General features: G+C 49.5%; 1 protein-coding gene across 2 annotated transcripts in view, besides 3 other annotated features; it reads right to left on the bottom strand.

Annotated features, from left to right (window-relative positions):
- ZP3 (zona pellucida glycoprotein 3) overlaps window positions 1-21578 on the bottom strand; it is a 44548-nt gene that overhangs the window by 9707 nt on the left and 13263 nt on the right. Inside the window, exons 2-3 of one of the 2 annotated variants that reach the window (NM_007155.6) lie at window positions 7087-7311; window positions 2730-2848 (exon numbers count right to left, since the gene is read on the bottom strand). In NM_007155.6, the coding sequence (NP_009086.4) occupies window positions 2730-2848; window positions 7087-7245 (278 nt within the window). In that variant the 5' untranslated portion in view covers window positions 7246-7311. Of the gene's footprint in view, window positions 1-2729; window positions 2849-7086; window positions 7414-21578 lie in introns of those variants that run through there. The other variant, NM_001110354.2, reaches the window with a different exon arrangement.
- Window positions 8017-8311: a silencer, noted in NCBI's record as "tiled region #8731; HepG2 Repressive non-DNase unmatched - State 21:Repr, and K562 Repressive non-DNase unmatched - State 20:ReprD". NCBI's record gives its function as "represses a minimal TATA promoter and a strong SV40 promoter by Sharpr-MPRA in HepG2 and K562 cells {active_cell/tissue: HepG2 | K562}" and the evidence as "EXISTENCE:reporter gene assay evidence [ECO:0000049][PMID:27701403]".
- Window positions 10937-11231: an enhancer, noted in NCBI's record as "tiled region #7220; HepG2 Activating non-DNase unmatched - State 9:DNaseU". NCBI's record gives its function as "activates a minimal TATA promoter and a strong SV40 promoter by Sharpr-MPRA in HepG2 cells {active_cell/tissue: HepG2}" and the evidence as "EXISTENCE:reporter gene assay evidence [ECO:0000049][PMID:27701403]".
- Window positions 10937-11231: a silencer, noted in NCBI's record as "tiled region #7220; K562 Repressive non-DNase unmatched - State 22:ReprW". NCBI's record gives its function as "weakly represses a minimal TATA promoter and a strong SV40 promoter by Sharpr-MPRA in K562 cells {active_cell/tissue: K562}" and the evidence as "EXISTENCE:reporter gene assay evidence [ECO:0000049][PMID:27701403]".

Below are 21578 nucleotides of genomic sequence, written 5' to 3'. Positions count from 1 at the left end.
AATAAAATTATCCGGGCATGGTGGCGGGCGCCTTTAGTCCCAGCTACTTGGGAGGCTGAGGCAGGAGAATGGCGTGAACCTCGGAGGTGGAGTTTGCAGTGAGCTGAGATCACACCACTGCACTCCAGCCTGGGCAACAGAGCAAGACTCCATCTCAAAAAAAAAAGAAAAGAAAAGAAAAGATAGCTGGGCATAGTAGTACATACCAGCTACTCAGGAGGCTGAGATGGGAGGATTGCTTGAGCCCAGGAGGTCAAGGCTGCAGTGAACTATGATGGCACCCCACTGCACTCCAGCCTGGGCGGCAGAGTAAGACTTTTTTTTTTTAAACAAAAAACCAAAAGCCACCACACATACTTTAGCCCTAGAGGTTCAGGTTTGGGGTCTGATAGCAGGCCCTGCACAGTACTCCACAGGATGCTTGAGAGGGGAATCAGCTAAGGCCATCTTTTTTTTTTTTTTTTGAGACGGAGTCTCACTTTGTCTCCCAGGCTGGAGTACAGTGGCACGATCTCGGCTCACTGCAAGCTCCACCACCCAGGTTCACGCCATTCTCCTGCCTCAGCCTCCCAAATAGCTGGGACTACAGGCACCCGCCACTAGGCCTGGCTAATTTTTTGTATTTTTAGTAGAGACGGGGTTTCACCACGTTAGCCAGGATGGTCTCCATCTCCTGACCTCATGATCCGCCCGCCTCGGCCTCCCAAAGTGCTGGGATTATAGGCGTGAGCCACCATGCCCAGCCAAGGCCATCCTTTAGAGATCAAAGACAGGCCCTTAGGTCTTGAGATGCTACCGAGAGCCTGGACCCACACCAGTGACTGGGAAGTCCATGGAAGCAGGTCTGGGTATCTGCAGATACCTACCCTGCTAACCCCATAGGATCTGCTGGAAGAAGCTACTCCAAGTGATGGATGCATCTATTGATAACCAGACTCAGGTATCTGGAGCCAGGTTAAAGCATCCCAGCCTACAACCAGCCTCTCTAATACTACCTACAGCCAATGGACCAGGTGAGCCACCATCCTCAGGGGTCAGGCCCAGAGACTGAAGTCAGACTTCCACGGTCACAGGACAGCTTCAGTCCCTCATGCCGACTGGGCAGCCTGCCCTTGACTCCTCTATCCTCCTCCATCTCCCCTACCCACATAGGCACCAAGCTCCTCCAACTGCTCTTAGCTCCTGCGAGTCAGCCTCTACGGTCCCTGCAACCATGGGTCAGGCCTCATTGAATCCCAGTTTTCCAGCCTCCCAGCTGGTTCTCACTAGTTCCCATTTGTCTTCAGCACCAGCCACCAGGTGACCCTGGGTGGAGATTCAGTCCTCACCCATTCCAGGAGGGGCACCTGTGGTGAGGCTGGTGAGCCCATCTGTCTGGCTCCCTCATTACCCCAGTCCCTGGGCTCCAGCCCCCAGGCTGCATGTCACCTACTAAGGGCACACTACCCTCCCGTTGGGTGTGTGGCCACATGGCTCTGCCCAGGCCATCTCAGCCTCAAGGTCCCCCACTCCAGGATCCTGTTCTAGGATAACCCCTACCATGACCCCTCCCAGGGGCATGGCTCATCCCTCATGATGTCCTGACTGGTATCAGCTCCCTACCCACTTCACACTAGCATTTTCTTTTTGAGATGGAGTCTTGCTCTGTTGCCCAGGCTGGAGTGCAATGGTGCCATCTCAGCTCACTGCAACCTCTGCATCCTGGGTTCAAATGATTCTCCTGCCTCAGCCTCCTGAGTAGCTGAGATTACAGGCACGCGCTACCACACTCGGCTAATTTTTTTGTGTTTTTAGTAGAGATGGGTTTCACCATGTTGGCCAGGCTGGTCCTGAACTCCTTACCTCGTGAGCTGCCCACCTTGGCCTCCCAAAGGGCTGGTATTACAGGCGTGAGCCACCATACCTGGCCGCATCATCTTATACCCACTCCCAGACTGGTTCAAGGGCAGGGACAAAGTCCCCTGCACCCCATGCTGAGGCCAGCACAGGACCCAGTGTTGTCCTTGGGAGCCATAGTTTCTCCTCCCACTTCAGGGCCTGAGTTCACAGGCACGTGCTTGATGCCAGGGGCTTGAGGACCACAGAAGAGTAGGCCACCACCGCCCAGGTCAGATTCTAGAACGCAGCCTAGCACTATTTTATTATTATTTTTTGCGATGGAGTATCGCTTTGTTGCCCAGAATGGAGTACAGCAGTGCAATCTCGGCTCACTGCAGCCTCTGCCTCCTGGGTTCAAGCAATTCTCCTGCCTCAGCCTCCCAAGTAGCTGGGATTATAGACACCCGGCTAATTTCTGTGTTTTTAGTAGAGATGGGGTTTCACCATGTAGGCCAGACTGGTCTTGAACTCCTTGACCTCAAGCGATCCACCTGTCAGCCTCCCAAAGTGCTAGGATTACAGGATGAGCCACTGCACCTGGCCCCAGCCTAGCACTATTGGAAGGCCATTTCTGAACCCTAAGGGCCGAGGCTGGCATAGTACCACCACCAGGGCTGAGCAGCTCTGAAGCTTCCGCTAAGCTGCAGTTGGGCTCCTGATACTCTTCTGGGGCTCGAACTAGACTCAGCAGGCCCCACAATCCCACGCAGTACAGTAACCACAGCTGCAAATGCTTCGGTAGGTAGTTCTAATAGCCATGCTGCAAGCTGTAGCCCATAGCCAGCCCACTTGCCTGCAGCCACACCCAAGGGGCTTTTGCACCAGGGGCCATGAGTCAGTCCCACACCGACCTGGGGTAGCGGCACTCGATGGGAATCTCTGCGCGGTTAGTCCTCACGATGGACAGGTTTCCCACGGGGCGGGGGTCATGGAGCAGGAAGGTGCTGTACACCAGGGCATCGTCAGTTACCTGGAGGAAAGGTGAGAAGTTAATGCTGCCGGCCATCACCTGCCCGGGTACTCCCAAGCCATACCTGAGTGCTCAGGGAGGGCAGCCCACAAGGGGACAGAAAGACCACAGGGTCAAGGCCAGGTGCAGTGACTCATGCCTGTAACCCCAGCACTTTGGGAGGCCAAGGATTGCTTGAGGCCAGGAGTTTGAGACTGGCCTGGGAAACATAGCAAGACCCCATCTCTACAAAAGAGAACACAGGCTCTGCCACTGGTCAGGAAAGAGGCAGGACAGGTACTGTCTTTGTACCTCGGAATCTTTACCTGACACCACATATTGACACCACCACAGGCAGACTGGATCAACCACATGGCAGATACCATGTAACACCCAAGCAATAGAGGCATCAGGGCACATGACACATCCCTTCTGACACTCCCCCTCCATGCCCCCCAGTACATACAGTTTCCTCTTTCAGGAGAGGCCCAGGGCCAAGATAGCCGCCAGGAAGCAGTCAGGAAGTGCCCAGCTGTTAACACTTATCAGCTTCTGGCTGGGCGCTGTGGCTCACGCCCGTAATCCCAGCACTTTGGGAGGCTGAGGAGGGCAGATCATCTGAGGTCAGGAGTTTGAGACCAGCCTGACCAACATGGTGAAACCCCATCTCTACTTAAAAAAAAAAAATTAGCTGAGTGTGGTGGCACGTGCCTGTAATCCCAGCTACTCGGGAGACTGAGGCAGAAGAATCGCTTGAACCCGGGAGGCAGAGGTTGCAGTGAGCGGAGATCGTGCCATTGCATTCTAGCCTGGGCAACAAGAGCAAAACTCTCAAAAACAAAAACAAACAAAAAACACAACAACCCACATCAGCTTCTAACCTATTCAAGCCCATTTCACATAAGGTGGGGGAGACTGATTCAGAGGTTGCCTGAGGCAGGAAGAGCACAGGTGAGTACTACTGGGGAAATTTGCATCGTCCAATAGGGCTGCAGAAGGCAGGGCCTGCCTGGGAGAGAGTTTTATAGCAAACACCTAAGTTCGAAGATTTTGCTAGAATATTAGAAAAATGTGACGCTAGGCCCTACCCCAGTAGAGTGAAGGTATGAGATTCTCTTGAGAATCAGTATTTTTACAACCTTTCCAGGTGATTAGCATAGAGCCAGCACTGGAAACCCCTACTTTAGTCACTTCCTAACCACCTTTTGTTTTTTTGAGATGCAGTCTTGCTCTGTCACCCAGGCTGGAGTGCAGTGGCACGAACTCGGCTCACTGCAACCTCCGCCTCCCAGGTTCAAGCAATTCTCTGCTTCAGCCTCTGAGTAGCTGGAATTACAGGCACGTGCCACCGTGCCTTTTTTTTTTTTTTTTAAATAGAGACAGGGTTTCGCCATGTTAGCCAGGCTGGTCTCGAACTCCTGGCCTCAGGTGATCCACCTGCCTCAGCCTCCCAAAGTGCTGGATTACAGGTGTGAGCCACCATGACTCAACCCCCAACCACCTATTCTAAGCTCACTATCCCCACCTCTCATCTCAGGGAGCTTATTTAAAAACTACTTGAGGGCTGGGTGCAGTGGCTCATGCCTGTAATCCCAGCACTTTGGGAGGGAAGAGGATTGCTTGAGGCCAGGAAGTCACGACCAGCCTGGGCAATAGAGCTAGACCCCATCTCTACAAAAACATAACTTGGCTGGGCACGGTGGCATGTGCCTGTAGTCCATCCCAGCTATTCAGGAGGCTGAGGCAGGAGGATGGCTTGAGCCTAGGAGGTCGAAGTTGCCCAAGAGCTCAGGTGGCTGCCTGGCCCTGACCAAACTCGATCTTCAGGGAATAGTCCTAGACCTTATTAGCAAGTGCCCCAGCACAGACAGAACCAGCATAGCTCGTGGGGCCCCTTATTCAAAAGTTATTACCATTTCAGGGCAAGAGGGCATTCCATTAAGCACTGGGCCCCACAGAACTGCACAGGTTGTATACCTGGGAAACTGGCCATGGCTGTATTTTTTTTTTTTTTTTTTTTGAGACGGAGTCTCACTCTGTTGCCCAGGCTGGAGTGCAGTGGCACGATCTCAACTCACTGCAACCTACGCCTCCCGGGTTCAAGCAATTCTCTGCCTCAGACTCCTGAGTAGCTGGGATTACAGGTGCCCGCCACCACACCCGGCTAACTTCTTTGTATTTTTAGTAGAGATGAGGTTTCACCATCGTGGCCAGGCTGGTCTTGAACTCCTGACCTCGTGATTCACCCGCCTCGGCCTCCCAAAGTGCTGGGATTACAGGCGTGAGCCACTGCGCACGGCCAGCCGCAGGTGATTCTCACCGGGCAAAACTGGGAAACACCACACCAGAGGAAGGAGTTTGCAGGCTTTGCTCCTCATTGGAGTCACCTGAGATCCTTATTACCCACAGCTGGTCCCACATCCTTTCTATTTTAGCAGCCTGGACATCAGGATTTTTAGAAGCTCCACAGGTGGGGTTAATAAAAGAGGGTCTTGCTCTGCCTTCCAGGCTGGAATGCAGTGGCACAATCGTAGCTCACTGCAGCCTCCAAATCATGGGTTTAAGCAATCCTCCCACTTCAGCCTCCCAAGTAGCTGAGACTAAAGGCAGGCGCCACCACACCCTATTGTGTGTGTGTGTGTGTGTGTGTGTGTGTGTGTGGTGTTTGGTAGAGAAGGGGGTCTCATTATGTTGCCCAGGGTGGCCTTAAACTCCCGGGCCCAAGTGATCCTCCCATCTCAGCCTCCCAAAGTGCTGGGATTATAGGCGCCATTGCACTCCAGCCTGGGCAATAAGAGCAAAACTGTCTCAAAAAACAAAAACAACAACAAAAAAATACCACTTATCAGCTTCTAACCTATTAAAGCCCATTTCACAGAAGGGGGGGGAGCCAGGCACCTGGCTCCCCAAGTAAATCTAAGACATGTTTGTGAGCCTCTAAACTGGAATAATTCCTCAAGTAACTCCTGCAGCTCTCTGGCCTCCCTCCCCAGGAAAACAAGGGCCTCGAGTCCTCAAAGAGAGCCCAGGAGACCACAGTTAAGACCAGAGCTCTGGCCGGAGGGCTCCAGGGGCTGGACTTGCCCCCATCCCAGGCAAGCTACTGGGTCTAGGCCCAGGTGAGGAGGAGCCAGGTTCCCCTGAGGCGGGAGAGGACAGGCCCTCCATGGGACCACAGGAACTTGGTCCAGGGATCAGGGTTTAGCTGGGGAGCTGTGTGCCCAGCCCTGCCCTGCCGTAAGGCCTCTCCTTGCAGCCTCTTTCCCCACTGGCTAGGGAAAGGGAGGTCTGGCCTGGATTTCTTGGTCTTTTCCTGCATGTACCACAGGTTAAGCCTCTCCCCCTTGGAGCTGCCCCCAGGGACCCACTGATGCTTTTAAGGTCTTTAACACCAAGGTTATGATGCCCCCGCCCCCATACCACTTATCTATGTGGAATTTTTTTTTTTTTTTTGAGCCAGAGTCTCGCTCTGTTGCCTAGGCTGGAGTGCAGTGGCACAATCTCAGCTCACTGCAACCTTTGCCTCCTGGGTTCAAGCGATTCTCCTGCCTCAGCCTCCTGAGTAGCTGGGATTACAGACACGCACCACCATGCCTGGCTAATTTTTGTATTATTAGTAGAGATGGGGTTTCACCATGTTGGCCAGGCTGGTCTCAAACTCCTCAGCCTCCCAAAGTGCTGGAATTACAGGCGTGAGCCACCACACCAGGCCCCAGTTAGTTTTTTTAAAGGCTTAAGAGATGGGGTCTCACTATGTTGCCCAGGCTGGCCTCAAACTCCTGGCCTCAAGTGATCCTCCAGTCTTGGCCTCCCATAGTGCTGGGACTACAGGCATGAGCCACTGCACCCGGCCCACTTGTTGTTTTTAAGATAATGTATACTTTGGGTCTCTTCAGGATGAGTTCCTAATGCCCCCAGCCTTAGAAACAGCCCCTTAGGCTACCCACAGGGCTATCCTATCACGCAGGCCTGTGTGTGTCACAAACCCACCTGAGAGAGAGTGGCGTGGCTTGGGCCAGCCTGAAGTGCACGGCCACCTCTGGCTCCACCCCATCGACCCAATGTCGGGCATCAGAGGCAGGAGCTGCCCTGGGTCCGGTGACCTCAGTGCCAGCTTCAGGCCTCAACTGGGCCACCTCCCCACCTACAAGTGAGAGGGATCCACCCAACCCCACCTCCCACCGATGGTGGCCACAGTCCCCATACCCGGCTGCCTCGAACATCCTCCCACCAAAGCCAGGGCCCCCAGCCTCTCTTACCTGCATGCTGTTGCCACACTCGTGGAGTCCAACCTCAAACCTGACCACATCTTCTGTGTCCATGGAGACCAGAGGCTCACAGGCCTCTGGGCCCAAGGTGAGGTCAGCAGCCCTGATGAGCTTCCCGGTGCCAAAAAGGTCTTTGCTGACCATGACCATCAGAGTGGCCTCCTGACACTCCACCAGTACGGGCTGTACGGACGTCTCAGGATGGCTGGCTCCACCCTGCAAGAGCCAGAGGGGTTGGGGGTAGCACAGCTCAGTACTACCCCAGAGCAGGAGGCAGATGAAGAGCCTATAGCTCAGCTCCATGGTACCTGCAGAGCAGCAGGCAGCCGCCTCTGGCCATCTTATACCCGTGGGATGCTGGCTGCTGCCACCTGGGCTCTCAGCTTCTCAGCTGCCTCCCTTCCCTAGCCAGCTGGGCCCTTGTTGCATAAAGTGGTCTCCATCCAGAAGCATCAGTAACACCTGGGAGCTTGTTAGAACTGCAAACTCTCAGCCTTCACCCCAGCATGACCACAGCAGAATTTGGTTTTTAGCTTGGAAATCCCCCACGTGTATCCACATTAAAGTTTTTTTTTGCTGTGTGTGTGTGTGTTTGTGGTTTGTTTGTTTTTGTTGTGTTTTGTTTTGTTTTGAGACAGAGTCTCACTCTGTTGTCCAGGCTGGAGTGCAGTGGTATGATCTCGTTTCACTGCATCCTCCACTTCTCAGCCAGGTTCAAGTGATTCTCCTGCCTCAGACTCCCAAATAGCTGGGATTACAGGAAGGCATGCGCCACCGCGCCTGGCTAATTTTTGTATTTTTGGTAGAGACAGGGTTTCACTATGTTGGGCAGGCTGGTCTTGAAGTCCTGACCTCCAGTGATCCTCCTGCCTCAGCCTCCCAAAGTGCTGGGATGACAGGTGTGAGCCACCGCGCCCGCCCCAGCCCACTTGAAAGTTTTTAGCTTGTAAATCCCCATGTGTATTCATGTAAAAGTTTGCAAAGAGTGTGCTGCCTGCCTGGTGCACCACAATGTATCACAGCTTCCCTCCGATCCCCTGCTGGCCCTGCCCTTAGGAAGCTCGCAGCCCGGCAAGGGAGCTGTCCCAGGTCTGTGGGGGACACAGGAGAAAGCCCTTGATTGAAGAGTCAGGGGGATTAGATCTGAGACATAAGGAGCTCATTCCAAGTGTGAGAAAAAGGAGGCGGTATCAATTAGGAGACAGGAGGAATTTCATGGGTCTCTGCCTTATTTTATGGGAGGCCGGGGGGTAGGTCAGTTCAGGCAGAGGCAGCTGTGTGAAGAGAGGTGGAGAAGGGGCCCTGCGTTCTTCATTCCTGGGTGAATCCCCCGGAGTTCATACTGAGACACAGCAGAAGCGGGGCTTGGCTTCAGCTCACCCCGACCAGGGCATTCTTTTTTTTTTTTGAGACAATCTCACTCTGTTGCCCAGGCTGGAGTGTAGTGGTGCAATCTCAGCTCACTGCAGCCTCCGCCTCCCAGGTTCAAGCAATTCTTCTGCCTTACTCTCCCGAGTAACTGGGATTACAGGCTTGTTCCACCATGCCCAGCTCCTCACCACAAGGGATCCGCCCACCTCAGTCTCCCAAAGTGCTGGGATTACAGACATGAGCCACCACACCTGGCCCAACCACTGCATTCTTTCCTGCATTCCCAGTGATCACCAGACCCATACCACGATTTCACTGACATCATCATGTGGAAACATGCCTATTACTTAAGAGAATCCCAGGAACTGACCTTAGGAGATTCAAATATCAAACCAAGGTTGTGGAGTGTCCCACCTCAGGAAGGAATGCTGAACTGATTGACAGCCTTGTTGCCACCAGCCAGACTACCAGGTGGCCCATAACTCAAGATAACCATGGCAACCAGATAATGCCAACCTGCATACCTTCACGTGCTTTGCCCAGCACAGCCGGCATGCCCTATCCCTGATGTAAATTCCCATGCTTTGCCTAATAAAAAAGCCCTCCTGGCTCTTTTTGGAGAGTCAGATAGAAAAATCTCTATATCTTTCCCTCTCTCTCTCTCTTTCCCTCTCTCTCTCTCTTTCCCTCTCTCTCCCTCTCTCTTTCCCTCTCTCTCCCTCTCTCTCTCATGCTGCCTCCTTTATGTCTGGGCATAAGCTCCAATGAAGCTTTGTCTAGGAAAACTCGTTTAGCCTCCTGTCAATTTCTTTTCTTTCTTTCTTTCTTTCTTTCTTTCTTTCTTTCTTTCTTTCTTTCTTTCTTTCTTTCTCTCTCTCTCTCTCTCTCTTTCTTTCTTTTGAGACAGGATCTCATTCTGTCGCCCAGGCTGGAGTGCAGTGGTGCTATCTCGACTCACTGCAACCTCCGCCTCCTGGGTTCAAGTGATTCTCCACCTCAGCCTCCCGAGTAGCTGGGATTACAGGCACCCGTCACCATGCCCGGCTAACTTTTGTATTTTTAGTAAAGACGGGGTTTCACCATGTTGGCCAGGCTGGTCTCGAACTCTGGACCTCAAGTGATTCTCCCTCCTCGGCCTCCCAAAGTGCTGGGATTACAGGTGTGAGCCACTGTGCCTGGCCCTCATGTTAATTTCTTTTCTTTCTTTTTTTTTTTTTTGAGACGGAATCTTGCTCTGTCGCCCAGGCTGGAGTGCAGTGGCGCGATCTCAGCTCACTGCAACCTCCTCCTCCTGGATTCAAGCAATTCTCCTCCCTCAGCCTCCTGAGTAGCTGGGATTACAGGCGCCTGCCACCAAGCCCAGCTACTTTTTGTATTTTTAGTAAAGACAGGGTTCCACCATGTTGGTCAGGCTGGTCTGGAACTCCTGACCTCAGGTGATCCGCCTGCCTCAGCCTCCCAAAGTGCTGGGATTATAGGCGTGAGCCACCGCGCCTGGCCACCTCATGTCAATTTCTATTGCACTGAGGGCCTGAGGACCCATGGTTGGGGTAGGTAACCTGGTGAAGCCTCAGGTCCCTGGGAGTGAGAGTAGCAATTTAGGAGGCCGGGGAGGTGGGCGGGGCAGAACCCTGTGGGTGCCAGGCTGAGATGCTGGACTTAGCCCTGTGGGAAAAAGAGGCCATGAAAGGAATAGTATTGGCCGGGCGTAGTGGCTCATGTCTGTAATCCCAGCATTTTGGGAGGCCGAGGTGGGCGGATCACCTGAGGTCAGGAGATCGAGACCAGCCTAAGCCAATATGGAGAAACCCCGTCTCTACTAAAAATACAAAATTAGCCTGGTGTGGTGGCACATGCCTGTAATCCCAGCTACTTGGGAGGCTGAGGCGGGAGAATCGCTTGAACCCAGGAGGTGGAGGTTGTAGTGAGCCAAGATCACGCCGCTGTACTCCAGCCTGGGTAACAGAGCAACACTCTGTCTCAAAACAAAACAACAACAACAAAAGTCTACTGCAAGGGTCCTATCAGGAGATGATGAAGGACTGACAGGTACAGCATTTACCAATGGCCTACTCTATGCTGTCCCTGGGTGAAATTCCTGCAAGAGAGGAGGAAGAATACAAAAACTAATGGCATTAGCTGGGCATGGTGGCTCATGCCTGTAGTCCCAGCTACTCAGGAGGCTGAGGTGGGAGAATTGCTTAAACCTGGGAAGCAGATGTTGCAGTGAGCCGAGATTGCGCCACTGCACTCCAGCCTGGGCGAGACTCCATCTCAAAAAAAAAAAAAATTATACATATATATGTGTGTGTATATATATATAATTTTAAAAAATTAAAAATCTGCCAGGCATAATGGCTCACATCTGTAATCTCAGCACTTTGGGAGGCTAAGGTGGGAGGATTGCTTGAGCCCAGGAGTTCGAGACCAGCCTGGACAATACAGTGAGGCCCCATCTCTACAAAATCAAAGAAATTAGTCAGGCATGTTGGCACACACCTGTAGTCCTAGCTACTTGGGAAGCTGTAGTCCTAGCTACTTGGGAACCTAGCTACTTGGGTTGCTTGAGCCTGGGAGTTCTAAGCTTCAGTGAGTCATGATCATGCTACTGCATTCCAGCCTGGGCAATAGAGTGAGACCTCATCTCAAAAAAATGTGGAAATGGCGGGGCGCAGTGGCTCACGCCTGTCATCCCAGCACTTTGGGAGGCTGAGACGAGCAGATCACGAGGTCAGGAGTTTAAGACCAGCCTGGCCAATATGGTGAAACCCCATCTCTACTAAAAATACAAAAAATTAGCTGACGTGGTGGCACACGCCTATAATCCCAGCTACTCAGGAGGCTGAGGCAAGAGAATCACTTGAACCTGGGAGGTGGAGGTTGCAGTGAGCTGAGATTGTGCCACTGCTCTCCAGCTTGGGTGACAGACTGAGACTTAGTCTCACTAAAAAAAAAAAAAAGTGGAGACACACACACACACACACACACACGTGGAAATATATATGTATGTGTATATATATGTTATATATAGACATAAATATAAAGAGATACAGGGAGAGAGGGAGGATATGTATCAATCTTTATATTGGCTGAACCTGGGTAAAAGGTAAACAGGTTTCTTAGTGTTATCTGTGCAACTTTCATCAGTTTAATTTCAAAATAAAAAGTAAAACAAAAAATAACCAAAAACATAAAAAACTCTCTGTGTCAGATTCAAGTGAGACAGAAGACGATGCTGTTAACCAAGTTCCAAAAGCAATTGCTAAAACAAAATATGAAGTTCCTAGGTATAAAACAGACAAAAAAAGATATGTAAGATCTTTGAGGAAAAATTAACAAAACTGTATTGGCAGTCAGAGTAAAGAATGTCTAAATTTACAGAGGTATTCCATGTTCATGGATGGGAAATGCAATATCATCACTATTTCAATTCTCCCAAAATTAATCTGTAATTTCTATCAAGATCCCAACATGTTTTAGCTGTATGTGGGCAGAGCTTAGTAAACTGATTCTAAAATTTATATGGAAGAGCTAAGGATCAAAAAGCCAAGGTTTTTGCAGAAAAAGAACATCTGGTGTGAGTGTGGTGGCTCACACCTATAATCCCAGCACACGATTTTGGGAGGCCGAAGCAGGAGGATTTCTTGAGGCCAGGAGTTTGGGAACAGCTGGGCAACATAGTGAGACTTTATCTCTATGAAGAAGAAGGAGGAGGTGGAGGAGGAGGGAAGAAGAGGAAGAGGAATAGGAAGGGGAAGAGGAAGGGGAGGAGGGGGAGGAGGAAGAGAAAGAAGAGGCTGGGTGTGGTGGCTAATGCCTGTAATCCCAGCACTTTGGGAGGCCGAGGCAGGAGGATCACTTGAAGTCAGGAGTTTGAGACCAGCCTGGCCAACATGGAGAAACCCCATCTCTACTAAAAATACCAAAATTAGCTGGGCGTGGTGTCGCGCGCCTGTAATCCCAGCTACTGGGGAGGCTGAGGCAGGAGAATCGCTTGAACCTGGGAGGCGGAAGTTGCAGTGAGTGAGCCAAGATTGCGCCACTGCACTCCAGCCTGGCGACAGAGTGAGAGTCTGTCTCAAAAAAAGAAGAAAGGGAGGAGGGGGAGGAGGAGGAGGAGGAGGAGGGGAGGGGGAAAAAAGAAAGAAAAAGAGAAAGAAAGAAAGAGATAGAGGGAGAGGGAGGGAGGAAGGAAGGGAGAGAGAGAGAAAGAGAACGAAAGAAAGAAAGAAAGAAAGAGAGAGAGAGAGAAAAGAAAGAAAGAAAAAGAAAGAAAGAAGGAAGGAAGGGAGAAAGAAAAAGAACATCATGAGACACACACCCTAACAGATATAAAAACATATTATAGAGCTATGGTAATTAAGACACATTGCTGTTAGGACAGAAAAGAAACAGTGGAATAGATGAGAGAGCCTAGAAACAGCCACGTGCATATGTGGAAACATGATACCGGACGGAGGAAACAGATGGACTCTTCAAGAAAAGGAGCTGTGTCAATTATTATCCATCTGGGGAAAAACTGGATTTCACTTCCCACATAAAAATGAATTCTAGATAGATTAAAGATCTGAATGGGAAAGAACAAAACTAAAACTTTGAGAAGAAAATATGATCTTCAGGGCAGAGTGAGCTGGAAAATATTTGCTAAATAAGACCCTACCCTCCAAAAATAATGCACAAATCATAAAGAAAAAGTGACTTTTTAGACCACTTTCATAAATAATGACCAAAATTATTATAACAATAATGACCATTTATTGCTTATTCTCAATACGGCAGGGACTAGACTGAGTCCCTTAATCCTGACACTCATCTAGGAAGGCACTATTTGCTCCATTTTACAGCTGAGGGAATAAGCACTCAGAGAAGTTAAGGAACTTGCTCAAGTTTGCACAGCCAATGAGGAACCAAACCAAGATTCAAGAGTCTCTCTGATACTTTCTGTTTGAGTTAACAACACCCAATGTGTACATTGGGGGAGCTATATCCAAAAAATAACTCCAATGCAAAGATGTGTTATTATTTTGGCCTTTTGTTTTCTGAGACAGAGTCTCCCTCTGTGGCCCAGGCTGGAGTGCAGTGGCGCGATCTCCGCTCATTGCAAGCTCCGCCTCCCGGGTTCACGCCATTCTCCTGCCTCAGCTTCCCAAGTAGCTGGGACTATAGGCGCCTGCCACCACGCCCGGCTAATTTTTTGTATTTTTAGTAGAGATGGAGTTTTACCGTGTTAGCTGGGATGGTCTCGACCGCCTGACCTCGTGATCTGCCCGCCTTGGCCTCCCAAAGTGCTGGGATTATAGGTGTGAGCCACTGTGCCCAGCCTTTTTTTTTTTTTTTTTTTTTTTTGAGATGAAATCTCGCTCCGTGGCCCAGGCTGGAGTACAGTGGTGCTATCCTGGCTCACTGCAACCTCCGCCTTTCAGGTTCAAGCGATTCTTCTGCCTCAGCCTCCTGAGTAGCTGGGATTACAGGTGCGTGCCACCATGCCTGGCTAATTTTTGCATTTTTAGTAGAGAAGGTGTTTCACCACGTTGGCCAGGCTGGTCTCGATCTCCTGACCTCAAGTGATCTGCCTGCCTCAGCCACCCAAAGCGATATTTTGGCCATCTTAAGGACTTTATGGACTCACTCAGATATTCAGTAGGTGTTTTAAAAAAATAGCACTATTCGCCAGGCAAAGTGGCTCACATCTATAATCCAAGCACTTTGGGAGGCCAAGGCGGGTGGATCACCTGAGGTCAGCAGCCTGGGCAACATGGCGAAATCCTGTCTCCGCTAAAAACACAAAAAATTAGCCAGGTGTGGTGACTACGTGCCTGTAGTCCCAAATACTTGGGAGGCTGAGGCAGGAGACCCGCTTGAACCCGGGAGGCGGAGATTGCAGTGAGCCGAGATTGTGTCATTGTACTCCAGCCTGGGCAACAGAGTGAGATTGTGTCTCAAAAAAAAAAAAAAAGAAAGAAAGAAAGAAAGCACTATTAAAGGCCAGACATGGTGGCTCATGCCTGTAATCCCAGTGCTTTGGGAGGTGGAGCTGGGAGGATCAATTGAGTCCAGGAGTTCCAGCCCAGCCTGGGCAACATAGCAAGACCCCATCTCTGCAAGAAATAAAGTAAAATTAGCCAGGTGTGGTGGTGTGTGCCTGTAGTCCCAGCTACTAGGGAGGCTGAGGTGGGAGGATCACTTGAGTCCAGGAGTTCAAGGCTGCAATGAACTATGATCACACCACTGCACTCTAGCCAGGGAGACAAGAGTGAGATCTTGTCTCGAAAAAAAAAAAAAGAATAAAAGAATAAATAGTACTTTTCTTTCTACGTGTCAACCTGGGAAGACAAAATACCTGGCGTGTGATGGAAAATAAGAGGAATCACAAATTTGAGAATGTGCCAGACACATATACATACATAGTGATGATCATTAATTCTACAGCCAGAATTCATTAATTCTGTTTCCAGACTTTAGCTGGAAGGACCTCAGTGGGCTGAGATTTAGCCCATTTTTTGCACAGTAAGGGATGCAATGAAAGTTAGGGATATGAGGCCGGGCACGGTGGCTCACGCCTGTAATCCCAGTACTTTGGGAGGCTGAGGTGGGCCGATAGCCTGAGGTTGGGAGTTCAAGACCAGCCTGACCAACACGGAGAAACCCTGTCTTTACTGAAAATACAACAAATTAGCCGGGCATGGTGGTGCATGCCTGTAATCCCAGCTACTTGGGAGGCTGCGGCAGGAGAATCGCGTGAACCTGGGAGGCGGAGGTTGGGGTGAGCCGAGATCGCACCATTACACTCCAGCCTGGGCAAAAAGAGTGAAACTCCATCTCAAAAACAAACAAACAAACAAAAACTGAAAGGGATATGAAAGGAAAGGGTCTCTGGAGTATATGGGGATGCTTTTCACTACCTCATCATTAAATGCCAAATTATATATATATATATATATATATATATATGTATGTATACATATGTATGTGTATATATATGTATGTATACATATGTATGTGTATATATATGTATGTGTGTATATATGTGTGTATATATATGTATGTGTGTATATATGTATGTATATGTATATATATATAGAGAGAGAGAGAGAGAGAGAGACAGCATCCTGCTCTGTTTCCCAGGCTGGAGTGCAATGGCATGATCTTGGCTCACTGAAGCCTGTGTCTCGCAGGCTTAAGCGACTCTCCCATCTCAGCCTCTTGAGTAGTTGGGACTACAGGTGCATGCCAGTACACCCAGCTATTTTTTTGTAGAGACAGAGTTTTACTATCTTGCCCAGGCTGGTCTCAAACTCCTGAGCTCAAGCAATCCTCTTGCCTCAGCCTCCCAAAGTGCTAGGATTACAGACATGAGCCACCTGCCTGACTAATATATAAAATTTATAGCCTGTTTCACCTCGCATGTGACCCTGACTGTAGCTAAGGAAAATAAATATTTTGTACAATATTTTGGCTTTTTATTTTGTTGAGACAGGGTCTCACTGTCCCCCAGGTTGGTATGCAGTGGGGCAATCATGGCTCACTGCAGCCTCGACTTCCAGGGCTCAAGCAATGCCCCCACCTCAGCCTCCTGAGTGGCTAGGACTATAGGTGTGCGCCACCATACTTGGTTAATTTTTGTATTTTTTTGTAGAGCCAGAGTTTCACCATGTTGCCCAGGCTGGTCTTCAACTCCTGGGCTCAAGCTATCCTCCTGCCTCAGCCTCCCAAAGTGCTGGGATTACAGGCTGAGCCACTGCACCCAGTCTGCTTTCTTTTTTTTTGAGACGGAGTTTTGCTGTTGTTGCCCAGGCTGGAGTGCAATGGTGCAATCTCGGCTCACTGCAACATCTGCCTCCCAGGTTCAAGCGATTCTCATGCCTCAGCCTCCTGAGTAGCTGGGATTATAGGTGTGCAACACCACACCCGGCTAATTTTTGTATTTTTAGTAGAGACGGGGTTTCACCATGTTGGCCAGGCTGGTCTTGAAATCCTGACCTCAAGTGATCCGCCTGCCTCAGCCTCCCAAAGTGCTGGGATTACAGGCATGAGCCACTGCGGCTAGCCCTAGCCTGCTTTTTATTATAGAGTGTTTAAAATCACCTACAAAATAAAATCTAGGCCGGGTGTGGTGGCTCATGCCTGTAATTGCAGCACTTTGGGAGGCCGAGGCGGGTGGATCACGAGGTCAGGAGATCAAGACCATCCTGGCTAACATGGTGAAACCCCATCTCTACTAAAAATACAAAAATAATTAGCCGGTTGTGGTGGCGGATGCCTGTAGTCCCAGCTACTTGGGAGGCTGAGGCAGGAGAATGGCGTGAACCTGGGAGGCAGAGGTTGCAGTGAGCCGAGACTGTGCCACTGCACTCCAGCCTGGGTGACAAAGCGAGACTCTGTCTCAAAAAAAATAAATAAATAAAAAATAAAATAAAATCTAAAATAAGAATCAAATCCACTCCCGCCACCCCCAGCCATTGGTAACAGTTGTCATAGTTGTCATAGTTAATAGTTTGTGCTGAATCATTCCAGACCTTTTTTTTTTTTTTTGAGACGGAGTCTCACTCTATCGCCAGGCTGAAGTGCAGTGGCGCGATCTCGGCTCACTGAAACCTCCGCTCCCCGGGTTCCAAGGATTCTCCTGCCTCAGCTTCCCAAGTAGCTGGGACTACAGGCATGTGCCACCACACCTGGCTAATTTAGCAGAGACAGGGTTTCACCATGTTGGCCAGGCTGGTCTTGAATTCCTGACCTCACGTGATCCGCCCACCTCGGCCTTCCAAAGTGCTGGGATTACAGGCATGAGCCACCGCGCTGGGCCTCGTTCCAGACCTTTTAATGCCTATATCGTAATTGTAAAATGTGCTTACTAAATGCAATGTGGTATCCTGGATTGGCTCCTGGAACAGAAAAAGGACATTAGTGAGAAAACTGGTAATACTCATTGAAATAAAATCTGTAGTTTGGTTAATATTAATGTGCCAATGTTAATTTCTCAGTTTTGACAAATGTACCATGGCTGCATAAGATTTGGAGTTGTGCTGGTTACTGTGGCACTCATCTTGCATCTGTAGTGCCAGCTACTTGGGAGGCTGAGGCAGAAGAATCACTTGAACTCAGGAGGCGCAGGTGGGGCGGTGAGCCGAGATCACAGCATTGCACTCCAGCCTGGGTGACAGAGCAAGACTCCGTCTCAAAAAAAAAAAAAAAAAAAAAAAGGAGGAGGAGGAGGGGAAGGGGAAGGGGAAAGGGAAGGGGTAGAAGCAGAGTCTGTTCCTGCATGAGAAGGTCTTTTCCTAACTGTCCTAAATGGAATCATCAGCACTTGAGTGTTACTGACCTCCCAGGAGCGGAAGCGTTGAAGAAGCACACATTCCGTAATAGGCAAACTCAGAGAGAATCCATTTACAGACCATAGGCAGATTTTCCCACTCTCCAGTCATGCCAGGCTGCTCCCAAAGGGTCTTTGAGGAGGAAAATCAGTGAACCAACCGCCTAGGCACCTGCAGCTTCTCATGTCAGGAAAAACCACTTGTCAGAATCCATTTATCACACCTTGAGGTGGTGACTTAGAGAGGTACTAAAATTTTTTGCTTTCAAATACAAATATTAATATGGGGCTGGGTGCAGTGGCTCACACCTGTAATCCCAGCACTTTGGGACGCTAAGGCAGGCGGACCGCTTGAGGCCAGGAGTTCAAGACCAGCCTGGGCAACATGGCAAAACCACATCTCTACTAAAAGTACAAAAATTAGCCAGGTGTGGTGGCACACACCTGTAATCCCAGCTACTTGGGAGGCTGAGGCATGAGAATCACTTGAACCCAGGAGGTGGAGGTTGCAGCGAGCTGAGATCACGCCACTGCACTCCAGCCTGGGTGACAGAGGAAGACTCTGTCTCAAAAAAAAAAAAAAAAGAAGAAGAAGGAAAGAAAGAAAAATCAGCATGGGCCAGATGAGGTGGCTCATGCCTATAATCCCAGCACTTTGGGAGGCTGAGGCAGGAGGATTGCTTCAGCCCAAGAGTTTGAAGCCAGCCTGGGCAACATAGTGAGACTTTGTCTCTTCAAAAAATACAATAATTAGCTGGGCATGGTGGCGCACGCCTGTAGTCCCAGCTACTCGGGGAACTGAGGTGGGAGGATTACTTCAACCTCAGAGTTCGCAACTGCAATGAGCTATGATCACGCCACTACACTCCACCCTGGGCAACAGGGAGAACTTGTCTCAAAAAATAAATGAATAAATAAAATTAAAATATTAGTCTGTTTTGTTGTTGTAAATCAATTGAGGCTTTTTTTTAAAAAAAAGTTTTATTTTGAAATCATTATAGATTCACAGGAAGTGGTGGCTGGGCATGGTGGCTCAAGCCTGTAATCCCAGCACTTTGGGAAGCCAAGGTGGGAGGATTGCTTGAGCTGAAGAGTTTGAGACTAGCCTGGCCAACATGGCAAAACCCTGACTCTACTAAAAAAAAATACAGAAATTAGCAAGTTGTGGTGGCATGCGCCTGTAGTCCCAGCTACGCAGGAAGCTGAGAGGCTGAGGCGGAAGGATCGCTTGAGCCCAAGAGGTTGAGGCTGCAGTAAGTTGTGATCACAGCATTTCACTCCATACTGGGCAACAAAGCAAGACCCTGTCTCAAAAAAAGAAGAGGCCAGGCACAGCGGCTCACACCTGTAATCCCAGCACTTTGGGAGGCCGAGTTGGGGAGGCCATGAGGTCAGGAGTTCAAGACCAGCCTGGCCAACATGATGAAACCCCGTCTCTACTAAAAATAGAACAATTAGCTGGGCGCAGTGGCACGCGCCTGTAGTCCCAGCTACTTGGGAGGCTGAAGGAGGAGAATCGTTTGAACCCAGGAGGCACAGGTTGCAGTGAACCGAGATCACATCATTGCACTCCAGCCTGGGCAACAGAGAAAGACTCCGTCTCAAAAAAAAAAAAAAAGAAGAAGAAGAAGAAGACAAAGAAGAAAGAAAAGAAAAGAAAGGAATGTATAGGGATGTGTGGTTACCCTTCACCCTAGCTTCCTCAATGTTTACATCTTTTTTTTTTTTCTTTCTGAGACGGAGTTTTGCTCTTGTTGCCCAGGCTGGAGTGCAATGGCGCGATCTCAGCTCACTGCAACTTCCGCCTCCCGGGTTCAAGCGATTCTCCTGCGTCAGCCTCCCGAGTAGCTGGGATTACAGGCATGCGCCACCACCCCTGGCTAATTTTGTATTTTTAGTAGAGATGGGGTTTCTCCATGTTGGTCAGGCTGGTCTCAAACTCCCGACCTCAGGTGATCTGCCTGCCTCGACCTCCCAAAGTGCTGGGATTATAGGCGTGAGCCACTGCGCCCAGCAATGTTTACATCTTCCATAAAATTATAATACCAAAACCAAGAACATGACATGATACAAGGTGTGTGTATAGTTCTGTTATTTTATCATATACAATTAAGATACAAAACTATTTCATCATCATAAATACCCCTTTGTACTACCTCTTTGTAATCACACCCACTCTTGCCCTCCACAATCCTTAAACCTAAACATTACTAATCTGTTTTTCACCTGTGCAATTTCATCATTTTGAAGATGTTTTATAAACGGAATCATACAATGTGTGAGCTTTAAGACTAGCTTTTTTTACTCATTATAATGCCCTTGGGATCCATCCAAATTGTTGCATACATCAACAGTTATTCCTTTTTTATCTTTTTCTTTTCTTTTTTTTTTTTTTTGAGACAGAGTCTCACTCTGTCCCCCAGGCTGGAGTGCAGTGACGCAAGCACAGCTCACTGCAGCCTCAACTTCTTGGGCTCAAGTGATCCTCCCACCTCAGCCTCTCGTGTAGCTGGGTCCACAAGAATCACCATGCCTGGCTAATTATTTTATTTTTGTAGAGTTGGAGTCTCACTGTGTTTCCCAGGATGGTCTCAAATTCCTGGGCTCAAGTGATCCTCCTGCCACAGCCTCCTGGGTAGCTGAGACTACAGGCACACGCCACCTCACCCAGCTAAAGGAAATTTTGAATGCTTCCTGTTTTTGGCTATTACAAATAAAACTGCTATGAGCATTCACATACTGGTTTTTTTTGTGAAGATGTAAGTTTTCATTTCTCTTGGATAAATGCCCAGGAGTACAATTGCTAGTTCATATGGTGAATGTACATTTAGATTTTTAAGACACTGTCAGACTATATTTCAGAGTATCTGGACCATTTTACATTCCCATCAGCAATGTGTGAGGAACCCAGTTTCTCCATATCCTCACTAGCATTTGATATCACCAACTATTTTTTTTTCAACCATTCTCATAGGTGGGTGGCAATAACTCATCATCGTTCTTTTTTTTTCCCCTAAAACAGGGTCTCTCTCTGTCACCCAGGCTGGAGTGCAGTGGCACAATCATAGCTCACTGCAGGCTCAACCTCCCAGGCTCAAGTCATCCTCCCACCTCAGCCTTGCAAGTAACTGACTACAGCCCAGTGCGCACCATCATGCCCGGCTATGTTTCTAATTTTTTATAGAGATGGGGTCTCCCTATGTTGCCCAGGCTGGTCTTGAGCTCTTGGTCTCAAGCGATCCTCCTGCCTTTGCTTCCGGAAGTGTTGGGATTACAGGCATGAGCCACTACTCCTGGCCACTGTTTGCTTTAATGGGAAAGACGAGAGCTTGCTTAGGAACCGAAAAATCTGATTGGGAAGGAGCAGCTGAACATGGAAGACAGATAGATGTGCAGATGGAGGGAAAGAGGTCCCTGAGATGACGGAAGGAATGGAATCTGGACTTCAGGGAAGGGGCTTCCCCAGGCCAGGGGAGGAGGGAGGGAGGAAGGACAGGTGCGGGCAGCAGGGGCGTGGAGATTTTGCAGCATGGTGATGGCAGCCTTCCATCAAGTATTTTCTTTTCTTTTTTTTTTTTTTTTTTCTTTTGAGATGGAGTCTTGCTCTGTTGCCCAGGCTGGAGTGCAGTGGTGCGATCTCAGCTCACTGCAACCTCCACCTCCCGGGTTCAGGCGATTCTCCCACCTCAGCCTCTCGAGTAGCTGGGATTACAGGCACCCGCCACCACACCTGACTAATTTTTGTATTTTTAGTAGAGACGGGGTTTCACCATGTCAGCCAGGCTGGTCTCGAACTCCT

This window comes from Homo sapiens, chromosome 7 (assembly GCF_000001405.40).
Source record: "Homo sapiens chromosome 7, GRCh38.p14 Primary Assembly".
Taxonomy (NCBI): Eukaryota; Metazoa; Chordata; class Mammalia; order Primates; family Hominidae; genus Homo; species Homo sapiens.
Note: the sequence above shows the minus strand (reverse complement) of the source record. Positions and strands in the feature narration are given on the sequence as shown.